Source organism: Homo sapiens, chromosome 5 (assembly GCF_000001405.40).
Source record: "Homo sapiens chromosome 5, GRCh38.p14 Primary Assembly".
Lineage (NCBI taxonomy): Eukaryota > Metazoa > Chordata > Mammalia > Primates > Hominidae > Homo > Homo sapiens.
In genome coordinates, this window is record NC_000005.10 from 94,701,783 (window position 1) to 94,722,538 (window position 20,756).

At 35.8% G+C, this 20,756-nt stretch overlaps 1 protein-coding gene across 50 annotated transcripts in view, besides 1 other annotated feature; it reads right to left on the reverse strand.

Annotated features, from left to right (window-relative positions):
- Window positions 1,366–1,435: an enhancer, noted in NCBI's record as "active region_22793". NCBI's record gives its function as "activates an Ori minimal core promoter by ATAC-STARR-seq in GM12878 lymphoblastoid cells {active_cell/tissue: GM12878}" and the evidence as "EXISTENCE:reporter gene assay evidence [ECO:0000049][PMID:35858748]".
- The window catches only part of MCTP1 (multiple C2 and transmembrane domain containing 1), a 581,405-nt gene continuing 562,556 nt past the window's right edge, over window positions 1,908–20,756 (reverse strand). For 33 of the 50 annotated variants that reach the window (XM_047417718.1, NM_001393537.1, XM_047417715.1 and 30 more), the window contains 4 exons: window positions 12,995–13,104; window positions 9,036–9,145; window positions 6,730–6,827; window positions 1,908–5,785 (listed from right to left, as the gene is read on the reverse strand). In XM_047417718.1, the coding sequence (XP_047273674.1) occupies window positions 5,714–5,785; window positions 6,730–6,827; window positions 9,036–9,145; window positions 12,995–13,104 (390 nt within the window). In that variant the 3' untranslated portion in view covers window positions 1,908–5,713. Of the gene's footprint in view, window positions 5,786–6,729; window positions 6,828–9,035; window positions 9,146–12,994; window positions 13,105–20,756 lie in introns of those variants that run through there. The other 17 variants (XM_047417713.1, XM_047417712.1, XM_047417711.1 and 14 more) reach the window with 4 other exon arrangements.

Here is a 20,756-nt window from a genome sequence, read left to right on the forward strand (position 1 = left end):
TGATAGCTACATTTATTCAAAGATTGTACCTTAAATGGCTTTGAAAGGATACTACTGTATAAAGAATTTTTTTCTTCTATCATCACTCTGAAAAAATATCCACTTTATAACTTATTATTTGCAACATTAATGCAGATACAAACAACCCTCTGTTGAGAGAATTCTGAGAGTGTCTTACCACAGCTCTCCAGAGCATATTATTTTGCACCTCTTCTGTGAAGGCCGGCAAAATAGCTTCTTGAAAGGTACTCTTTTAAGTAGTACAACTCAGAACAATCTTTTTACAGTTGTGTTTTGTATAAATATCCTGGATACCTACATGGTAACTATAGTACAACCTGATAGTATCAATCTGTTTTTAGGGGGAAGATTTCTTACCTACCGGTCAGGGCTGTTGTCACAGTTATGGGAGGGAAATCAAGTACATATGCATTAAATGTACTATGTATCAAGTACGTAGCATCATAGTGTGCAAGATTGGATGGTGAATACTTGGTACCCCCAATCCATAAGTCAGAGTATTTTGCTTTTGCTTAAATTACCAAGCGCTGTATGTTTTGATTTTTAAAAAAAGTTTTTCTCTTACTTCTGAAAATGAATGTTTTTAAAAGTGATGTTAAGCAATTTCACACAAATAATGGAACATCACATTAATCTGTTTAAAAACTCCTTTGTCAGATATGTATAGTGTTTTCTGGATGGCTTCTCGTGTGCTTCAAAGACCCTCTTATGTTTGCTAGGTTCTCTGTTAATGGAAACTGAAGTTTGTAAGAGTTTAAGGCCAAACGTAAGAGGTAGGTATACCATTGTGTTTTTTTGCTCAGAAATTGTTAACTACTTCCTCTATTATAAAACAAAGATGACAAAATTACATACTCCGCCTTGTATAATAGCAAATAGACACTTCTTTGTAAAATTTTTCCAAGAGCTTATTAGTTCTTGACACCGATAAATTGTTTTCCATGGTTGCAGTGTTACAAGGTACACAGAGATTTTGACTTTTCATAATTACTACTATAGAAAAGAAGAATGTTTTGTGGGGCATGTAGTTATAAGGTTTCAGTTCTCTGATAGCTTTATTAAAAAGGGTTCTTTGAGCTTGGGACAAATATGTCATTTCCTTCCCCTCATCTCTCTTCTGTGGTCCAGCTGTCTCTAACAATGCTTGACTATTCTCAGGTGTCTCCAGTAATGCAAAAGGCAAGTATGAGTAGTGAGGGCCAGGTGTGCTTTTTCTATGAATTTAGCATTTCCTCCAAACCTGTCACCATTTGAACTCTGGCAAAATAAAATCCCTCAAATGGACTCAAGCCCTTTTGAGCTTGTCTTTGACTAGAAAGTGAAACTGAACCTATATTATCATCTTTCTTCACTAGTGGGAGCAAGTTCCCACTAGCAAGTGGGAGTGAGTTCCACTCAGCCAGGCCTCAGGATCTCCTTAAATGTATTCCTCCAGAGAAAAGATAGTTTTCAGGTTCACTCATTGGTTCAGGTTGGCCACTCCTTTTCTCTTTGGAAGGAACATTGAAGAATCTGTAGTAGGGGATAATTGCACTGCAATTTTAATTTTGCTACATACTGAAAAAACGTAGGCACGGCTACTTACGTAAACCATTTCCGCTTTCCTTGAAACAAATCTTTCTGCCTAATATAATAAACACTTAATTGACTAAAGCAGAACAGCAGTGTATTTTACTTTGTAAAAAATGGAGTAATAATTTTTCAGTGACATTTGGAGGTACGGATAATCATATAAATTTAAAAACCTGTCTTTACAAAAATACTGCTTGTGCATGTAATAGAACACTTCTTTTGTATGGGTTTTTGGTGGTTTTTTTGTTTTTTTCTTTTTTTTTTTAAGCTTAGAATGTCAAAGAAGAGCCCAATAAATTGAAACTCATTTGAGGTCAGTTACAATATTTGATTGTTTTTATTTTTTGATTCTTAACCCAGATCCCTCCTTTGAAAAGCACAGATAGAATCATTAAGTTCCAGGAAACCTTTCATGGTGCTCTTAGTTTCTACATTGTATGATTGCTTTGGACATTTGATAGTTTTTATTTGCATACTATTTTTTAATGAGATTTTTCAATAGTATTTCTCAAATTTTAGCCATTCAGCTGAAGTAAATCTTATGTGACTGCCTCTATTCAAATTGCCACTATATAAAAGAAACTGAGGTACCAGAGGGTAACATTTTCACCAAAAAAAAAAGAAAAAAAAATGTTTTGTTTTCTTTCAGTGAGTTACACCAATCATCCCAGGAAAAAGAATTATAATTGAAAGGAATGACACTATTGTAAGAAAGAATTTACCACATTATTTTCTATGTGGTTTTAATTCATACTTTACTGAGCAATTAGAAAAGGCTGATTCTAGATACCCTAATCAAACCAACGAATAGACATCATCTGTACACTCACTCACACTAGAGTGTGAAATCACGCTATTCATTTAAAGCCCAAGAATTTAAGCAAGTATTAATTTAGCAATACCTGAGACGTTTTTCAAGAAGTATAATGGTAGCTGTCTTTACTTGTATTTCTGGAGCAAAAAGGTATAACTGCCTTATACCTTTTTGTTTGTTCTTAATGCTTAGTCAACATTATAAACATTTAGGCCCATTTAACAAGTTTATTCGCTGAAATTACTGCCTTTGAATAACATTAATACAAATGTAGACTACTTTGAGCATAGGAGACCTTAGATATGAGATCAAAGTGGAAAAAAAGCTCCTGTGGTCCCTAGATAAGCATTTACTTCTGAGTTTTTCTTCACTTTTAAATGCAGAATAAAAATTTTATAAAAGATAATTTTAGAAATGTATCAATTAAATTTGGCTCTCACTGTACTTCAACTCCAGATTTGATTTTAGTATACAATCATTGGTTTGACCGTTGTCTATAACAGGGTCATACAGTTGGTATTCGATAAATATATCACAGAGTCCTTTTAAGAATCTCCCAACTCAGATTATCCTAGTGCATATAGAATGTTCAAAAACTGATTGATTGATTGATAGGTTCTGTAGGAATTCCAGTTTTTGAACATTCTATATGCACTAGGATAATCTGAGTTGGGAGATTCAATCAATCAATCAGTTTGAGTCTGGAACAGTACCAGAATGAATGAGAAGTACTATTATGTTCTTTTTGATAAGTGGGGAAAAATTTAAAAGCACAAATACGCATTTCTTATGAATTATCACAACGAATGTCAGTAATAGTTTATGAATATAAATAATGACTCAGTGAATTTACTCACTAAAAGATACTAAAGGAATATATTTAGTAGTTCACAATATCTATAATAGTTAGCAGTCCAAGTAGATGTTTGAGTGACATTCAGTCTCTTAAGAAATATTTACATCACAGATCTCAAAATGAAGGCAAGTCAGGCAGCTCTCAAGACAGAATTGCAGCTATGTGAGAAGGGGAAAGAAATAAATAGTTAAAATTTTAACTATACATATTCTGTTTTCAGCCTGTGAATGTAGTAGTTTCTAAAAGCAATGAAGATTTCCCTGAATATCACTTTTGTGCCTCAAGCTAGTTCTTATTCCTCTGTTAATGTCATTGGTTGCTCACCCCTCCAGAGGTATTTTCATATAAGAGTCAGAGTTTCAGGAAAAAGGTCTTATTTGTTTAAACCAAATCTGTTTTTCTCCAAGTGACATATAGTTTTTAAGAATATGCACACAATCCCTCATCAATCTCTGAACCACCAAAAAAAAAAAAAAAAGGAGTGCTGATTATACGTGGGAAAGATTATTTTCTTTTGTATTTAATACAGTGAATGTGTAGTCAGCATTACCATTGAACTAAACATCTGAAATTTGATACAGTGAAACAAATTAGTCATCTGTTAATGGTTACTATCCACTAGATACATCTGAGGTTGTAGAATATCAGGCTTATAGACATTTGAGTACACATTGTCAGCACAGAACATAAAAGTCTCACATAAGGTATAATTGAAAGTTATTTCAAACAGTTATCTCATCAATAAACTTTCTGTAGTAACATCATGTTCATGGAACATTATGTTTTTAGCAACAAACAGTGATGGTATGCAGACAGAAGCATGTCATTTTAAACATGATACATTAAATAAAGCATGTTGAGGTCAAAGCCTTTCTGTAGAAAGGGAATTTAATTGACATTCAAGCATAGTATATAAACAGATCAAAATAGTTCTATTATAAGAAATAGTATTTAACAACTTATCTCTAAAATAAAAATACTTTAAAAATCAGCTTCAATGAGATTACATTTATTGTTAAAGAATCTTCCTTTAGAGTGAAATATACATTTCTTTTAGCTTTTCTATAGTTTTTCCAGTATAACCCCCACTTTTACCCCATCCAAGTTTATTATTAATAAAGTAGTGCAAAGCATTGTCTGCTGCAATTTCAACTGAGTGTAGTCCCCTACCAAGTCAGGGAAGTAAGACATTCTCAACCAACCAAATTATTTTTTCTCCAGAGTTATGCTCCCTTAGTATACCAGGGAGTGAGATATAAAAACTACTTTAAGAGTCTTGGGAATGCAATTTTTAAGTATAGATTCTATGATAATAGTGAAACATTGATAAAGGCAACCACCACCCCCAAGCAGTTTATTTTATTTTACAAAACAGGTTTTCATGCATAATCAAGAATGATTTTTTTTAATAAATGAATGTAGTGAAACACTGGCATATCACTTAGCACACTGAATTCTCTACATTAAAATTCACACTAATAACAAAATCATAGTATGAATTAAAGCATTTCAGTAATCTAATGAGAAAGCAGGTTTTTTTTTTCTCTGAGAGCACTTGAGTATTTATTAAAATATTTTTAGATGCACAGATACAATCTGACACCAAAAGCGATATGGATATAGTTTCCTAGTATTTTTGATAACTGTACTTACTGGGTTGCTAATTTGCTAACTAACTGTATAAATTAAAGTAGTGGTAGGTATAAAAATTCAGATAGGCAATCGTTTATAAACTGGCAGTATTTATGTTATGTAGTCCTGTAGAGATTTTAAGGTTTTAGATGGAATGATTGATTGAAATTCTATAAAGAAAACTTTGTAACCTTCTGAGTATTGATTCTCTTGAGGGAGTGAATGTACCTTCACTTATTAGCTTAAAATTAGCCTAAGTCATACCTAAGTAATTTGCACAGGAGTGAATGTCGGGATCTAAAGCCAGAATATATGTTAAATTGAAATGTATCCATTCCATTATTCAGGCTTTGGAATTTCCCTCCCTTTTGAAATGTATAAAACATAGAAAAGTGTAATGGATTACTTTTCAGATAAAAAATAGTCGCATTAAAAAAAAACTTTAAAATCAAATCGACATTTACAATTGATGTAGATTTAATCAGAGCACAGGTGAGTATTTAATCCACTAGTAATTAGATAAGAATATATCTTCCAGTGTTATCATTCTTATATTTGTTCTTTCAGTGTGTTATATTATTATCCACAGCTAACAAGGTTTTGACACAGCAGTAGCAAAACCTTTATCAAGTTGAGTCTGTACAATAGAAGTATATATTCAAAGACATATGCCTTTGTACACTATTTACAGATTCTCTCGATCATGATAAAAAGGCAAAATAAATAAAAAGCAGAAAGAAAGGAAATGCTGCTGAGGCTGAGGGCTTTTTCTTTTATCTTCCCAAACAGATGCTGGTCTCCTCAGTGCTGGGAGCTGGCTAGCCAAGATTGTTTTTCTTTCTTTTATATGGGCTATGAGAAGGATCTGGTTTCAGTTCTTGGTATTGCACCTGTTTAAACAGAGTTCAGAGGAAGACTGGTCAGGTGGCCACTTTCTGGCAAAGAAAGGAACAGCAAAGGAATGAGAGACGGTGCTTGGGGGAAGAAAGTGCTCACTCTAGAAGCTGTATGGGATCTGCAGCTGAGATGCAGAAAGCAATAGAATGACAGAGCAAGAATAAGGGAAATCCTGTTGGAAAGTACATGGGGCCCTGATGTGAACTTTAGTAATGGTATTCACTGTCTATAACACATTACATTAAAAGTAAAACCATCTACATCAATTTTTTAAAGGGCTCGATAATGGTTTTTTACAATTTATCGTGTGTTTGCTTAATACAGTCTTAATCTCCATCCAGCCCACTGTCATGTCATAGCAAATGAAAAAGGTATCACTGTAACCCAGCTTCAGGATTTAAAAAAAAAAAAACAAACTTCTTTTATTTTGAAAACAGCTGATGGTTAATGGGCATTAACCTCAAAGGATTTTTGAGATATGCTCCACTCTTCAAAAAGCAGTCAGCTTTCCTCTCCTCATTGATCTCCAAAATATACTTCTTCAAAACTTACTTGTAACTCTTGCAAATTCTGGAAAGACTTTTTTTTCTTAAATGTCCACTGGCATATTTTGCTTTCATCATCTAATATTCCTGGTTTCCTCCCCTCAGGTCATACTCCCTGTCACAAACTCCAGCTGAACTAACTTGGAGGAGGATCTTCCCTGACAGCTCTGGTAGGTTCTTTATGCAACTGCTCTTTCTCCCATTCTCTGTAAGTGCTTCTTGGATAACACCCCAGGTGGGCTAAATTTCTGACTGGTAAAATCTGCTACACAGGCTTTATTAATTTTTACTCAGCTCTTCTAAAGCCTTTGAAATTAGAAGGATATAAAAGCTAAAACCCCATGCCACACTACATTAAAATAATAGCAATAATAATAACGAAACCTACATACCACTTGTACATCTGAAGGGACTCTGGAAAGGAAGTCAAGTAGTTCATTGTTATCAATTGCATATGGACTCCGAAGCTTTTTTGTAAATTTATTGATGCCTGAAACAAAGTTGGAGTTAAACAAAGCACATTTCTGACAAAAGTGTTGTAGTAATTTGAAGATCTAACTTGTATGCCTTGACTCAATGAACCAATACACCCAGTTTTTTCCCCCTCTTCCTCTTTTTCTCCTTCATTTCTTCCTCCTTTCCAGCTCAACTGCTTTTTTTACTTGTACCTTAGTAGCTTCTTCCAAGCAGGAAAGGCTTTCTATGTGGGAAATAAAGGAGCTGCCCTGGGGGTTAATTAGCAATATCTTGGTTTTTTTTCCCCCTGTGTTACAGTCTACTTAGAAGCCTTGCTTTAGTGTTTCATTTATGATGAAACTTGCTTTCCTACTTTTTGGGTTAAGATTGTTAAGGCAAGATGTCTAACTTATTTGGTTTCCCCTTTTCCAAAAGATGCACCTTTTTGGAGGTGGGGGTGTGTGCTGCTGTTAATGCCAGCTAAATGTTTAGAAGACACATGATGTTTATTTTTTTCAAACCTGAAATGAAAAGATTTGCCCCCAACTTTGTAAAAATAAATAAATAAATAAACACCTTTACATGAAATCAACAAACTGGTAAAAACTGAGCCATACACTGGAGCATCTTGGCTCCTCTTCAGGGAGTTCATGCAGAATAAACTTCTGGAATCTTGATTTTGGTCCATCTCCTCATGTAAGACCTATGTCTTAAATTTCTGGCTAATATTTCAGCAATCACCTACCACTAAAGGAATACTGTTCTTGTTTTATTTTGTTTAATGAAACAAGAGGCCCAAACACATTCTGCAAAGTTACTTTTAAGACAGCTAGTCAGTGAGGGCACTGCAGGTTACACAGCTAGATGTCTGCCCTGGGCTCCAGTTTCTGTAAACCTGGGAGAACAGGGCATTCACCACCACCTATTGCAACAGAGATGACTCCACAAGCCAAGGCAGGTCTGACCCTAGGTAGATTAGAGTTAATAAACTGCCACGACATGACATTCTACCCTAATTTTTTCTATAAAGCAGCATCTGTTTTAACTATCAGGAAGAAATGAAAGATGAACATACAATAGGAAGCAAGAACATAGTGGAAATTATTCTTCCCTTATATAATGAAAGTGCTGTCTAAATTGAATATCTTTGAATTATAGAAATTAGGAAAGGAAAAAATAATTACCATTTCCCCCACCTCTCACCCAGACTGAAAGGGTAATTATAGTGATAATAAGGGGTAAGAGGGCTTCCTCAATATATGGCAAGTTGGGCCAAAAAGAATAGGGACAAAGTATCTTAAAAGCGGAGGGCTTGGAGTCATCAGACTTGAACTCACTTTATTCCAACATATTTCTTCAAAAGCCTTGAAAAGAATTTTGCTTTCAGTGTAAGCACATGCTTTCCGAAGCTAAGACTCATTTTGGTTCTTTGCATTTGATTTGTTTTAGCAGTCTTAGGTGTATGTGTAAGCAGGTGAGGGGTAAGTAGAGAATTCTTCTTCTACCCCGTCTAGTTTATATATTATTAATGTTATAGTAGATCCTAGAGACTGAAAATTGTTTTCCAAACCAAGAATTTTGTCAGGAAAGAAAGAAAAAAAGAAGAATGCTGCAACTGACAGTCTCCTAAATGGAGCCCAGGTGCATAAGAATCGTTGGCATGCAGCATAGTTGCATTAAAAATTAGGACCGAAAAAAATCACCTTTGATGTAGGTCTTTATAGAAACATTCTTGTTTAGTACACATAAAAGGATCCTTTTGTTCCTAAGGAACCTGCAAGTACCAAGGACCCTTTTCCCGAATGCTAAAGGTGACCTCTTAAACAGGCAGCCATGTATAGTACCATGTTTACATATATTCCACAAGATAAAATACAACAGCAAAAAAAGCATATTTTCCTAAATGCACCATATGGATTGAAATGCCTCTGTTTGTATATAAATGGTGAAAATAAATCAGAGGGATATCTAGACAAAGCTACACTTTGATATATGAAGAATCTGCACAACTAACATGTTTATAGTATGATGAAGCCTAGTGTGCCAGATAAGAAAAATACATTTTGCAGGTGGACCTAAATCTTTATACTGTTGTGATTTTTAACCAACCTGTCTCTTTTCATCATGGAGTAGCTTCATGACCATAAATACAGGGAACTGCTGACAGTGTAACTCATCTCTTAAACATAGTTTGTTCTTAGCAGCTAAGACAGTTTGGGGGAGTGGGGGAGGCTTTACTTACCCCAGACAAGGACAATGTATCTCAGCGGAATGCAGTACAGGATGGCTGTGAACACACAGAGGGCTACAATGGCCAGCCAGCTTAAGAATGGGACAGTCCAGTTGAAAGTACTGAATGGAAAATTAACACATCAGCAATCTGAGTACTTCATACTTTTTTCAAATATTAAAATACATATGATTCTAACTTGGGACCTAGTTAGTCTGCATTTCTCTCTGGAATAGATTCCAATTGTAATAGGTTATCAGAGGACGCAGGCTAGCCATAATCTGCTCAGTTCCATGAACACAGGGCCCAAGTAAAGAGTCTTGCTGCCACCTCCTCCAGATTGTTCCAGGTGACTTCAGAGTCTAAAGCCATTGTGCTACTTGGGTGACTCCCCACATGAAAGAAGATCTTTATTTTTCTTCTTTATTTTTCTACTGCTAAGACTAGTACCCATCCTTGTTTTCTCTGGCTTTTCAGAGGGGAATGCCCCTGGACCCACCATTCTTCCTTCTATCAACTCTCAGTATTCCCCATATTGGGAATAAAATGTTGCCAGCAACTCTTGGTAGATGTAACTCTTACATGGTTGTGTTAAAAATCCTCTGAATGTTAGAATTCCTTAAACTACTCACTTGTCCTACCTCAGCTATGTTTGAAATAGAACTGGAAATCAGGAAAGAGGAACAAAACAGCCTTGCAAAAATTCACCTCTTACTGCCCTTCTTCCCAGAAGTACATAGATAATTAATAAAATCAGCATTGCTTACTATTATCTCTCATGTACTCCTTGTGAAGGACAGCATTCTGGCAAAAGTAATTGGTAACGTAGAGGACTGGGTCAGAGAAGGCTGCAAGACTCAGTATTGACAACAAGACATGATAACAAATGGAAACGAGACCAATGAACAGAAGTAGAAGTTACAAAAAAAAAAAGTACTGAGGAGATGGGAAGGAATTTACTGAGACAAAAAGGGAAAAGAAAAATGAAGACAAAGGCAAAAACCATGATGTAAAAATGTTTTTAAAAGTAGAAAATCAGGGAACTGGAACATGGGAAGATTATAATCACTTAAGGCTTTTTGTGTGGAATCCAGTCTGGTACTTCTTAAGAGTGTGCCAAAATCATAAAGAAAATAGAAACACTGTGTAGAGCCTCCAGGGTTGGGCATATAAATATATCACCATTTACAGGCATACCATTGCATTCTTTGAAATTTCTCCTAAGTGTTCATCCACTAAAGAGGAACTAACAAACATATCATGTCCTCTGACCCTTTAGCATGAGAGCCAAGAAGTTAGCAGATTTGTATTCAAAGCCTAGATTCTATTATGTGGATTTAGCTGAGTCAACCTCTCTAACCTTTTCCCCATTTATAAAATGGGGATAGCTTTTATTCTGTCAAGGAAGACTGGTTGTGATGGTAATATGTTTATGTGAATCAAGATGAAATTATTAGAACTAATCAACTCAAGGAATCTCATTTATGGCACTTTTTTCTTATGAGACAGAAGGCCCCTAAGACACTTCAGCAAAACATATTGTTCATGTGGATAAATGTGTTTTTTATTTCTTCTAATTTCCTGGTATTGTATATTGTACTTACTTGAGGTGAGTTTTTTTTTTTCAGGGCAATTTTGACCCAATAAAGGATGATTGCTAAAGAGATTTTCTTCTATACAATGCCTCAGCATAATACTTAGGAATTAGTTGTTCCTTACCTTTGTGGCATGTAGCTTGCTTTTTGTCTCTCTCTAGGTCAAAATTGTTTCCTAAAATTTTTTTCTACTAAAAGAGCCAATGTTGGGTCAATCTGGTTATCCTATTTTCAGTAATCCCTGGTGTCTGGCTTTTCTGTCTTTGTCTTCTTCCTCTTATGGTCAAGAGTGAGCATCTGCAACTCACCAGGTAAAGGATCATGCCTTCCCTTCCTGATGGATACCTGTGCCTCCCTTGCTTCTGCTTGCTTGTGGAGAGAACAGAAGGCTAAGGGGATCTGCTTGCTTTCCTGTGGCTCAGCTCAGAGTCATCCATCACACGACTCCACGTGTGAGGGCACTGGCTCTTCACTCAGAAAACCTTCCTTCTGGGCAGCCCCACTGAAGAACTCCCTGTGTTCTCCTTACTCCTATTGGAAGGATAAATGGCAAAGAATCCCCACCAGTGTAGCTGTTAGAAAAAATAAAATAAAATAAAACTGCCCTTTTCTATTTCTACACTCTGCATTATGGAATCTAAATCTAGAATATGATCTTCCCCCAAAAAGGGATGCAATTCAAGAAAGTTCTGGAATGATTATTTAGTAACAAGACATGGTAAGTATAGAGCCCTTTCATTTTGTGCTTAAAGATTGCTTTTGAGTCTGCTTTCTGGGTAGATGCTTTTAATTCCATGTGACCCCCAGGAGAATTTCTTTTTTTTAGCATCCAAAAGATCATTTTGCGGGAGAGATGGCTCCTCCAAGACTCACTGGCCCCTGTGCCATATTCCTGTACCTTAGCATAGGAAGTTCTACAAAACCCAGGTTTCCCCAAGGCTGAACCACTGCCAAGATCTGGTCATATCCCTCAGCTAGTCATGTTTTCCAGCCAAGCATCTGCTCTGAGGCCTTCTACCACCTAGAGTTACAAAGGAGTTTCTTCCTCTCAGGCATTCACTGCCTGATCCATGGTCTTTTGGTATAAATGAGATGTTTCTGTCAGGTATCAGCACACTGTGTACCCCAGATAAAAGAAAGACAGCACTCAATGGGGAAATGCCCCAAATTGAGGGCTTCACACTGTTTCAGTGGATAGCGTGTGGAGGACAGGTAAACATTCTTAGAGATGAGAGGAAGAAGGAGAGAGAAAAGATACGGGAATAGTCTTCTGAAATCCAAGACTGAATGTTTCCTAAAGGCACATCTCGGAGTGAGATGGGGGCTGTTCTGTCTAATGTAAGAAAGTGGAAACTCAGCACCTAGACATGTGGAAATATACAAAATAAAATGCATTATCCCTTACAACATGAAAGGCACGAGATGAATGACTCACACCTTTAGTTTAAATAATTTACTCCTTTCAAATTCTATGTATGCCCAAGGATTCAAATCTGTAGAAAACTTCTGGCTATGAATAACAAACAATGAAGAGATACATTATACTAGGAAAATAAAGGTTTGTCCAGAATTTGGCACCCCTTCTTGAATAGACCATTAGCAATCATTATGTAGGCCAATTTTTACATAATTTAGAAGTATGAGGGTCTTATATCTTTTAACTGATAATTGCTGTAAATACACCTTTTAAAAAAAATATAACATTAGTTTAGATAAAACACATACGTATATAAGAATGTAAGTTTCTTAATTTTGCATTAGAGCTCAGTGAAGCTATATTTATTTTATTTTAAAAAGTTAAGGAAAAGGGATTCTGTTTTTATAATTTTAAAAATTGTGTGCATTTTCTAAATGACAGAGCATTAGTTTATTGATAATTATGGATCTCAGCTATTTAAATACAAACTTGAAAAAAATATTTTTGCAGGGTACCATAAATATGATTAATTTTTTAAAAAATTTAGTGTCACTTGATGAAAATATAACTAGACCAATAGTAAAATACAGGTGTATCTTAATTACCTGAAGTCCTCATTTAGCTTGGTTTATTTTTTTCCTATCACAATTTCATATTCCATTTAAGAACAAAGTCTTTCACAGTGAAAAATGTGCTAAAATTTAGGACGGTGTTATTTCTTCAAAGCTACAAGTATGACTTCTTTCCAACCAATATGTTCTAAATTTCAGGAAGGAAATTGACAGAACTTTCATAAAGCCAAAGACTGGCAGAAATAAAGTAAATAATGATGAAACTGAGCAATAGAGCACCCAGAAGGAGTGTCCCCTGCCAAAAAGAATGTGGCATTTCACCCTCCAAGAAACAAATGGACACCTTATCCCACAGAAGAATGGGGCTCACAGGTCACCGTCACTCACTTCTTTATCCTTTCGCCAAAGGAAGCCACTTCATCTAGGATGTTCTGGACACTGACACATACCTCCTGGATGGCATAGATTTTATTTATAAATCCCTTTTTTTCACTGTCCTAAAATGCAATAAAAAAGAAATTCTGTATGAGTAAAGGTATTCTTCATTGCTTGAATTCTTTGTGTTGTCCCTCTGTTACATTTTTAAACTTAAATAAACTTCATTTTCGTGTGGTTATAAATGGATAATTGGAACCCATGAAAATATCAGGATTTAAAGGAAGATGAGGAGGAAGGGGACCCAGCATCATGGATTTGTGCTTGTAAAGATGGCTGCAAAGCAAGAGCCTCGGGTTCCTTTGCTCTTGCCCTGATGAGCAGAAGAAACATTTTGGGGAGGAAGGTATAAGAGAGAGGGGAGGTCCCAGAATTACCAAACCCGGATTCTACAGTGCCTCTGGATCCACTGATACACTACTTAGTGGACCCAGTTTCTTGACCGCACTGCCCATAAACCCAAATTTTGTTGTGGCTCCAGATATTTCAGCAGCAGAGAATGCTGGATGCACTTGAGATTTGTGAGCAATGAAAACTACAAAAAAAAAAAAAAAAAAAAAAAAAACACCACCACCAAAACCTGGAATCCACTATGTGGATACTGCTTAGATCATATACAAACTAAGCCTGACCACCTTCTTAAAAATAATAGTCTAGTCATATATTTTATACGGTAGTATATGCTGTATTAGGTTCTAACTAAACATTTTTTCCCCTTTTGGTGCTTAGTTCATTTTAAAACATACTGAATTTAAGCAAAGCTGGTGTGCTCCAGGTAATGGATGGGTAGAGATTGAGCATTAAAGCACCTAGAGAGTGGTGTGACCCTAGGAGAAATGTGCATATTTTGCAATTTTAGACCCAAAGGAAGAAACAGTGGTGGCCTTTCACAATTGAAAATTCTGCTTAGTAGCCTGGCATCACAGGCACTTGCCTAGGCTGTTTAGTGGAGACCATCCAACCCTGATTCTATGACTCCATTCCTCCATGCCAGCTTGAATATCTATGGAAATGTAGATCCAATTTCATTACTTTAACTTCTTTTGAACACTTGCACACTATGCCAGAACACTTGAGACCTCATGTGGCAGTCAGTGCTTGCTGAAAGCAGCCAGGAAGCTAGAATAATAATGTCATGTTGCACATTTACATACTGACTTTCATTTCAGAAGAGTCTAAAGCACTCTACAGTGTGAACACTTGGCCAGGGCTGGCCTCCCGCCACCTCAGAAACTGCGGGCAAGTGAATGACAGATGTGTGTGCCTCCTCCAAGGACAACAGGGTACACTGGGACCAAGGACATGGAGGCCAGTTTTATAACGATCTTTGTTATAGATACCAGTTACTTAGAGCCTTAATTTTAAATTTAATTCACATGGGAGAAATTTGTCTATTATTCATCTTGCTTATGCCAAAATGGATTGTCAATTAGACGAGACGCATAAAGCTTAATAACAGTATTGGGAACAGCTAGTTAGCTACTTAGGGTTCCCTACTGTCTTCAGAAGTCACCATTCACTTGTCATGACAGACGTTGGTGCATCAATTTATCTTTCACACTCTCCAGTAAAAAAAAAAAAAAAGTTAGTTTCACCTATACAATTGTGCACGTTAGAGTAAAATGAATAACTAGTGGCTTTTTCCTGTTCCTTTCAAAACTGCAAAGTTCGTCTGCCCCAACTGTGTGTCCCTTAGTATTCTCATCTCAAGCACCAGCTAAGTTCATTTATGTCTATGAAGCAAAGTACTCATAAATATTTAACCACATACAGAATAAGTCAAACGAGTTGAAGCATGCTGGTTGTACAATGAAAGTCCATTGAGAATGTCTTTCAGCTCAAAATTATGTGAAAAACTATTTCACAGTAACAAAATATATGAAATACCTAGGTAAAACCTCAGCAGGAAATTTACGAAATATATAAAAAGTTTTTTTTTTTTTAGTTGAATATATAGGCTTAATGAAATTTCAAGCAAATCCTAATGTTTAGAGTGGAGAAAACGGGGAGAACTTAATAATGTTTCTAAAGTTTGTTGGACAAATAGGTAACTATAGCTAAGAAATTTTACAAAAGAGAAATCATGAGAAGGCATTCAGTGTACCCAGTATTTAATTAAAATGAGATATGGGCATCAAAAGATTGGTATATGATAAGGTGCCATGCACAAAGGAAATAAGGAAGTGTTGTTATTGGGTAGTTGCGTTAACTATTTGGGGAAAGTTATGTTAAATCCTACCTAAAATAGACATTCACATCTGAGATAGATAGCCAAAATCTATCTTAATATGTGCCTCAAATAGCCCCAAATACATTCCATATTAATGTTAAGAAGTTAAAAACAATATCTACCATAATCAAGTTGGCTTCATCCCTGGGATTCAAGGCTGATTCAACATACACAAATGAATAAAGTAATTCATCACATAAACAGAACTAAAGACAAAAATCACGATTATTTCAATAGACGCGAAAAAGGCCTTCGATAAAATTCAACATCCCTTCAAGTTAAAAACTCAATAAACTAGGTATTGATGGAACATACCTCAAAATAAAAAGGGCCATTTATGACAAACCCACAGCCAATATCATACTGAATGGGCAAAAGCTGGTAGCATTCCCCTTGAAATCTGGCACAAGACAAGGATGCCCTCTCTCATCACTCCTATTCAACATAGTATTGGAAGTTCTGGTCAGGGCAATCAGGCAAGAGAGAGAAATAAAGGGTATTCACATAGGAACATAGGAAGTCAAACTGTTTCTGTTTGCAGATGACATGATCCTATATCTAGAAAACCCTATTGTCTCAATCCTAAAGCTTAAGCTGATAAGCAACTTCAGCAAAGTCTCAGGATATAAAAATCAATGTGCAAAAATTTCTAGCATTCCTATACACCAACCATAGACAAGCAGAGAGCCAAATCATGAATGAACTCTCATTCACAATTGCTACAAAGAGAATAAAATACCTAGGAATACAGGTAACAAGGGAAGGGAAGGACCTCTTCAAGGAGAACTACAAACCACTGCTCAAGGAAATCAGCGAGGACACAAATGGGAAAATATTCCATGCTCATGGATAGGAACAATCATTATTGTGAAAATGGCCATACTACCCAAAGTAATTTAAAGATTCAATGCTATTCCCAAACTACCACTGACCTTCTTCACAAAATTAGAAAAAACTTCCTTAAAATTCATATGGAACCAAAAAAGAGCCCGTATAGCTAAGACAATCCTAAGCAAAAAGAACAAAGCTGGAGGCATCATGCTACCTGACTTCAAACTATATTACAAGGCTACAGTAGCCAAAATGGCATGGTACTGGTACAAAAACACACATACACCAACGGAATAGAAAAGAGATCTCAGAAATAAGACCGCACATCTACAACCATCTGATCTTTGACAAACTTGACAAAAACAAGCAATGAGGAAAGGATTCCCTATATAAAAACAGTGCTGGGAAAACTGGCTAGCCATATGCAGAAAATTGAAACTGGACCCCTTTCTTATAAAAAATTAACTCAAGATGGACTAAAGACTTAGATGTAAAACACAAAACTATAAAAACCCTAGAAGAAAATCTAGACAATACCATTCAGGACATACTCACAGGCAAAGATTTCATGACAAAAACTTCTAAAGCGAACATTTTGATTTGGTTGCAATGCAACCAAAGCAAAAATTAACAGATGGGATCTAATTAAACTAAAGAGCTTCTGCACAGCAAAAGAAATCAGAGTGAACAGACAACCCACAGAATGGCAGAAAATTTTTTCAATCACTCTGACAAAGGTCTAATATCCAGAATCTACAAGAACTTAAATTTACAAGAAAAAAATCATTAAAAAGTAGGCAAAAGACATGAACAGACACTTCATAAAAGAAGACATTATTATTATTTTTTTTGACATGAAGTTTCGCTCTTATTGCCCAGGCTGCAGCGCGATGGTGCAGTCTTGGCTCACTGCAACCTCCGCCTCCCAGGTTCAAGCAATTCTCCTGCCTCAGCCTCCCAAGTAGCTGGTATTACAGGCATGTGCCACCACACCTGGCTAATTTTTTGTATTTTTAGTAGAGATGGGGTTTTACCATGTTGGCCAGGCTGGTCTCGAACTCCTGACCCCAGGTGATCCACCCACCTTGGCCTCCCAAAGTGCTGGGATTATAGGCGTGAGCCACTGTGCACAGCCCAAAAGACATTTATACAGCCAACAAACTTATGAAAAAAAGCTCTACATCAGTGATCATTAGAGAAATAAAAATCCAAACCACAATGAGATACTATTTCATGCCAGTCAGAATGGCTATTATTAAAAAGTCAAGAAACAACAGATGCTGGCAAGGCTATGGAGAAATAGGAACACTTTTACACTGTTGGTGGGACTGTAAACTAGTTCAACCATTGTGGAAGACAGTGTGGTGATTCCTCAAAGACCCAGAACCAGAAATACCATTTGACCCAGCATTCCCATTACTGGGTATATACCCAAAGGAATATAAATTATTATATTATAAAGATACATGCACATGTATGTTAATTGCAGACTATTCACAAAAGCAAAGACATGGAATCAACCCAAATGACCAACAATGCATAAGTGATAGACTGGATGAAGAAAATGTGGTACATATATACCATGGAATACTATGCAGACATAAAAAAGGAACTAGATCATGTCCTTTGCAGGTACATGGATGGAGCTGGAAGCCATTATCCTCAGCAAACTAATGCAGGAACAGAAAACCAAACACCACATGTTCTCACATGTAAGTGGGAGCTAAACAATGAGAACATATAGACAAAGGGAGGGGAACAAACACTGGGATCTGCAGGTGGTGTGCGGGGAGCAATGTGGGGAGGGAGGGCATCAGGATAAATAGCTAATGCATACAGGGCTTAATACCTAGGTGATGGGTTGATAGGTGCAGCAAACCACCATGGCACATGTTTACCTATGTAACAAACCTGCATGTCCTGCGCATGTGTCCCAGAACTTAAAATATAATTAAAATTTTTGGCTGGGCCCAGTGGCTCATGCCTGTAATCCCAGCACTTTGGGAGGCCGAGACAGGCAGATCACCTGGGGTCAGGTGTTCGAGACCAGCCTCAACGTGGAGAAACCCCGTCTCTACTACAAATACAAAATTAGCCGGGCGTGGTGGTGCATGCCTGTAATCCCAGCTACTCAGGAGGCTGAGGCAGGAGAATCGCTTGAACCTGGGAGGCAGAGGTTGCGGTGAGCTGAGATCGCGCCATTGCACTCCAGCCTGGGCAACAAGAGCGAAACTCCTCTCAAAAAAAATAAATAAATAAAAATAAAATAAAAATTTTAAAAAAGTTAAAAGCAAAAATGAATTATAAAAAGACAATACAGGGAAGTTATTTACTGACCTTGGAATAGGAAAGAACTTTCTAAACATACAAAAAATAAAATAAATTACAAAGGAAAATAATTTATAGCAATGGTTACATAAAATTTAAAACATGTCAAAAGTCATAAATTTAAAAGGCTAAGTGGGAAAAAAAATCAACAAATGCTACAAATGATGGGATGATATTTCTAAAATAGTAAACATCTGAAAATGTTTTAATTGCATTTTTGTTTATAACAAAAAGACTAATAGTATGTTGGATGAGATTATAGTACATACAATTGATAGATTATGAAATCAGAAAATATTTAGAAAGAATATATAATGACATCAAAAACGCTTATGATCTAATATATATAGTGTAATCCTAATTTAGGTTTAAAATGCCTATGTTGGGGAAAAAAAGGATGAAGGAGATGCATGAAAATATTCCAGTAATGGAAGTTTATCTTCTTCATACCTTCCTGTAATATTCAAATTGTTTGCAATTCATATTTTACTTTTGTAATAAGAATATTTCCCCAATTTTCTTTAATGTTACTAAAGGAAGATGGTTAGAAGAAATAAATGAACTGGTACTTGGCTTGTCTATTTTTAATATTTTTATAAGCTATCTTAAATTATTTTTGGAAAGAAATGGAATATAAACAGACACTCATTAAGTAGTGTAAAGTACTTTTCTCATAATTCATCCAATACTCACAACCATCCTACAATGTAGTTATTTTTCTCCACTCTACAGAAGAGGAAACTGAGGCTCAGGAAAAAGTGACAGAACTTGGGTTGGGACAATGCCTGGCTAACTCCAGAGCCTATACTCTATAATAACCATATGACCTTCCTATTCAATCCAGGAAGGTTTCAGTTCCTACAAAGAATTCCTTTGAGATAAAGAAAAATGATTTCAAAATGTTTCGAAAATGCAGACACCATAATCTAGCCTTGAGAATCACCATAGAGCTAAAATCTTGAGCAAGAGAATGAAATCCAGAAACTTGATTTGAAGGTAGAAAGTGAAAGATGTGTTAGAAACCACCACATTTAATGTCAATAAGGTAAGCAAATATTAAATGCAGGTAAGCAAATATTAAATGCAGGACCTTCATTAATAAGATGTGTCACTTGAGGCATCTGTGAAGAAAATTTTTAATAGCCACTTTAAAATCCAAGTGCTGATGTATGATTATTGGCTAAGGATTTTTAAATATTCGCTCATTCTTCATTTGCTTTGTTACTACTGCACTCCCACCCAGTCCACCGCCACTCCCTTACCCTCAACTGCCAAAAGACAAAATAATATGGTTTGTAATGTTGGTGCAGTTTTGAAAAGCAAATGCTTTGGGATAAAATTTTCCTTTTAAAATCTGTCATCAAATTCTATATTCTTTCATTGTGGTCTCCAATCAATGAAGTAATTACTCTTTCTATAAAGTATATGACCCAAAACTGCAATGGATAATGGAATTGCTGTGTTGCATTCCAATATTTCATACTTTTTTCAATAATGTTCAATACTTTATTGTAGAGAATAAATTGGTACATTCCTTTATTGTTGTTTTTGCTTTACTTTATAAAGCAGCTTGGATGAAAGAAATATCATAGAGTAGTTAATCACCCAGTCTTGGTAGTGACACTGTTTTGTTTTTTTTTTTTTAATGCATTATTAAGGTTTCTTTTGAAGGTGAAAAAAAAAAAATATCCACAACAACAGCTATAACCATGAATCTGAGAATATGTGAGATTTATATTGCACAACTATTTCTAATGATTCTATACAATATTTCTAAAAGCTCTCTTACTAGGTTTTAAATAGTCCCTAAAACATCACTAACTGTAAAAGTTGAAGTACAGTGATTCTTTAATATATGCCTACTTTACTATGACATATTGCAACAGAAAGTTAACTAGATTCTTCCAAAGAAGTACCTACCACCTAGTTTTGAGATATTTAAGAAAATCTAAAGACCTAAATAATCAATAGGCATACCTTACATATTCGAAGAATCCTGTTCATCGACTTTCAAGCCAAAATGACAGATTCTCCCCTTCACTGAGTCTGTTCTAAATGGGAACATGAAGCCAAAGTGATAGACATCGGGGTGAATATTCTGGGACTGGTTTTTCCTGCCGAGCTGTGTCCTAGCTTAGTCATTAATACATTTAGGAACCCTGCCATAGTGGTCATTGTCAACCATGTTGAGAAGTTATCTGTTGAACACCTGTGCTGTATTAATCAGAATTAGCAGGTATGTAGAATATATTTGCTACAAATATTACTATTATAAAATCAATGTTATTTCACTTCCTAAGGTGAGAGAGTCTTCAGAGAAAGGGA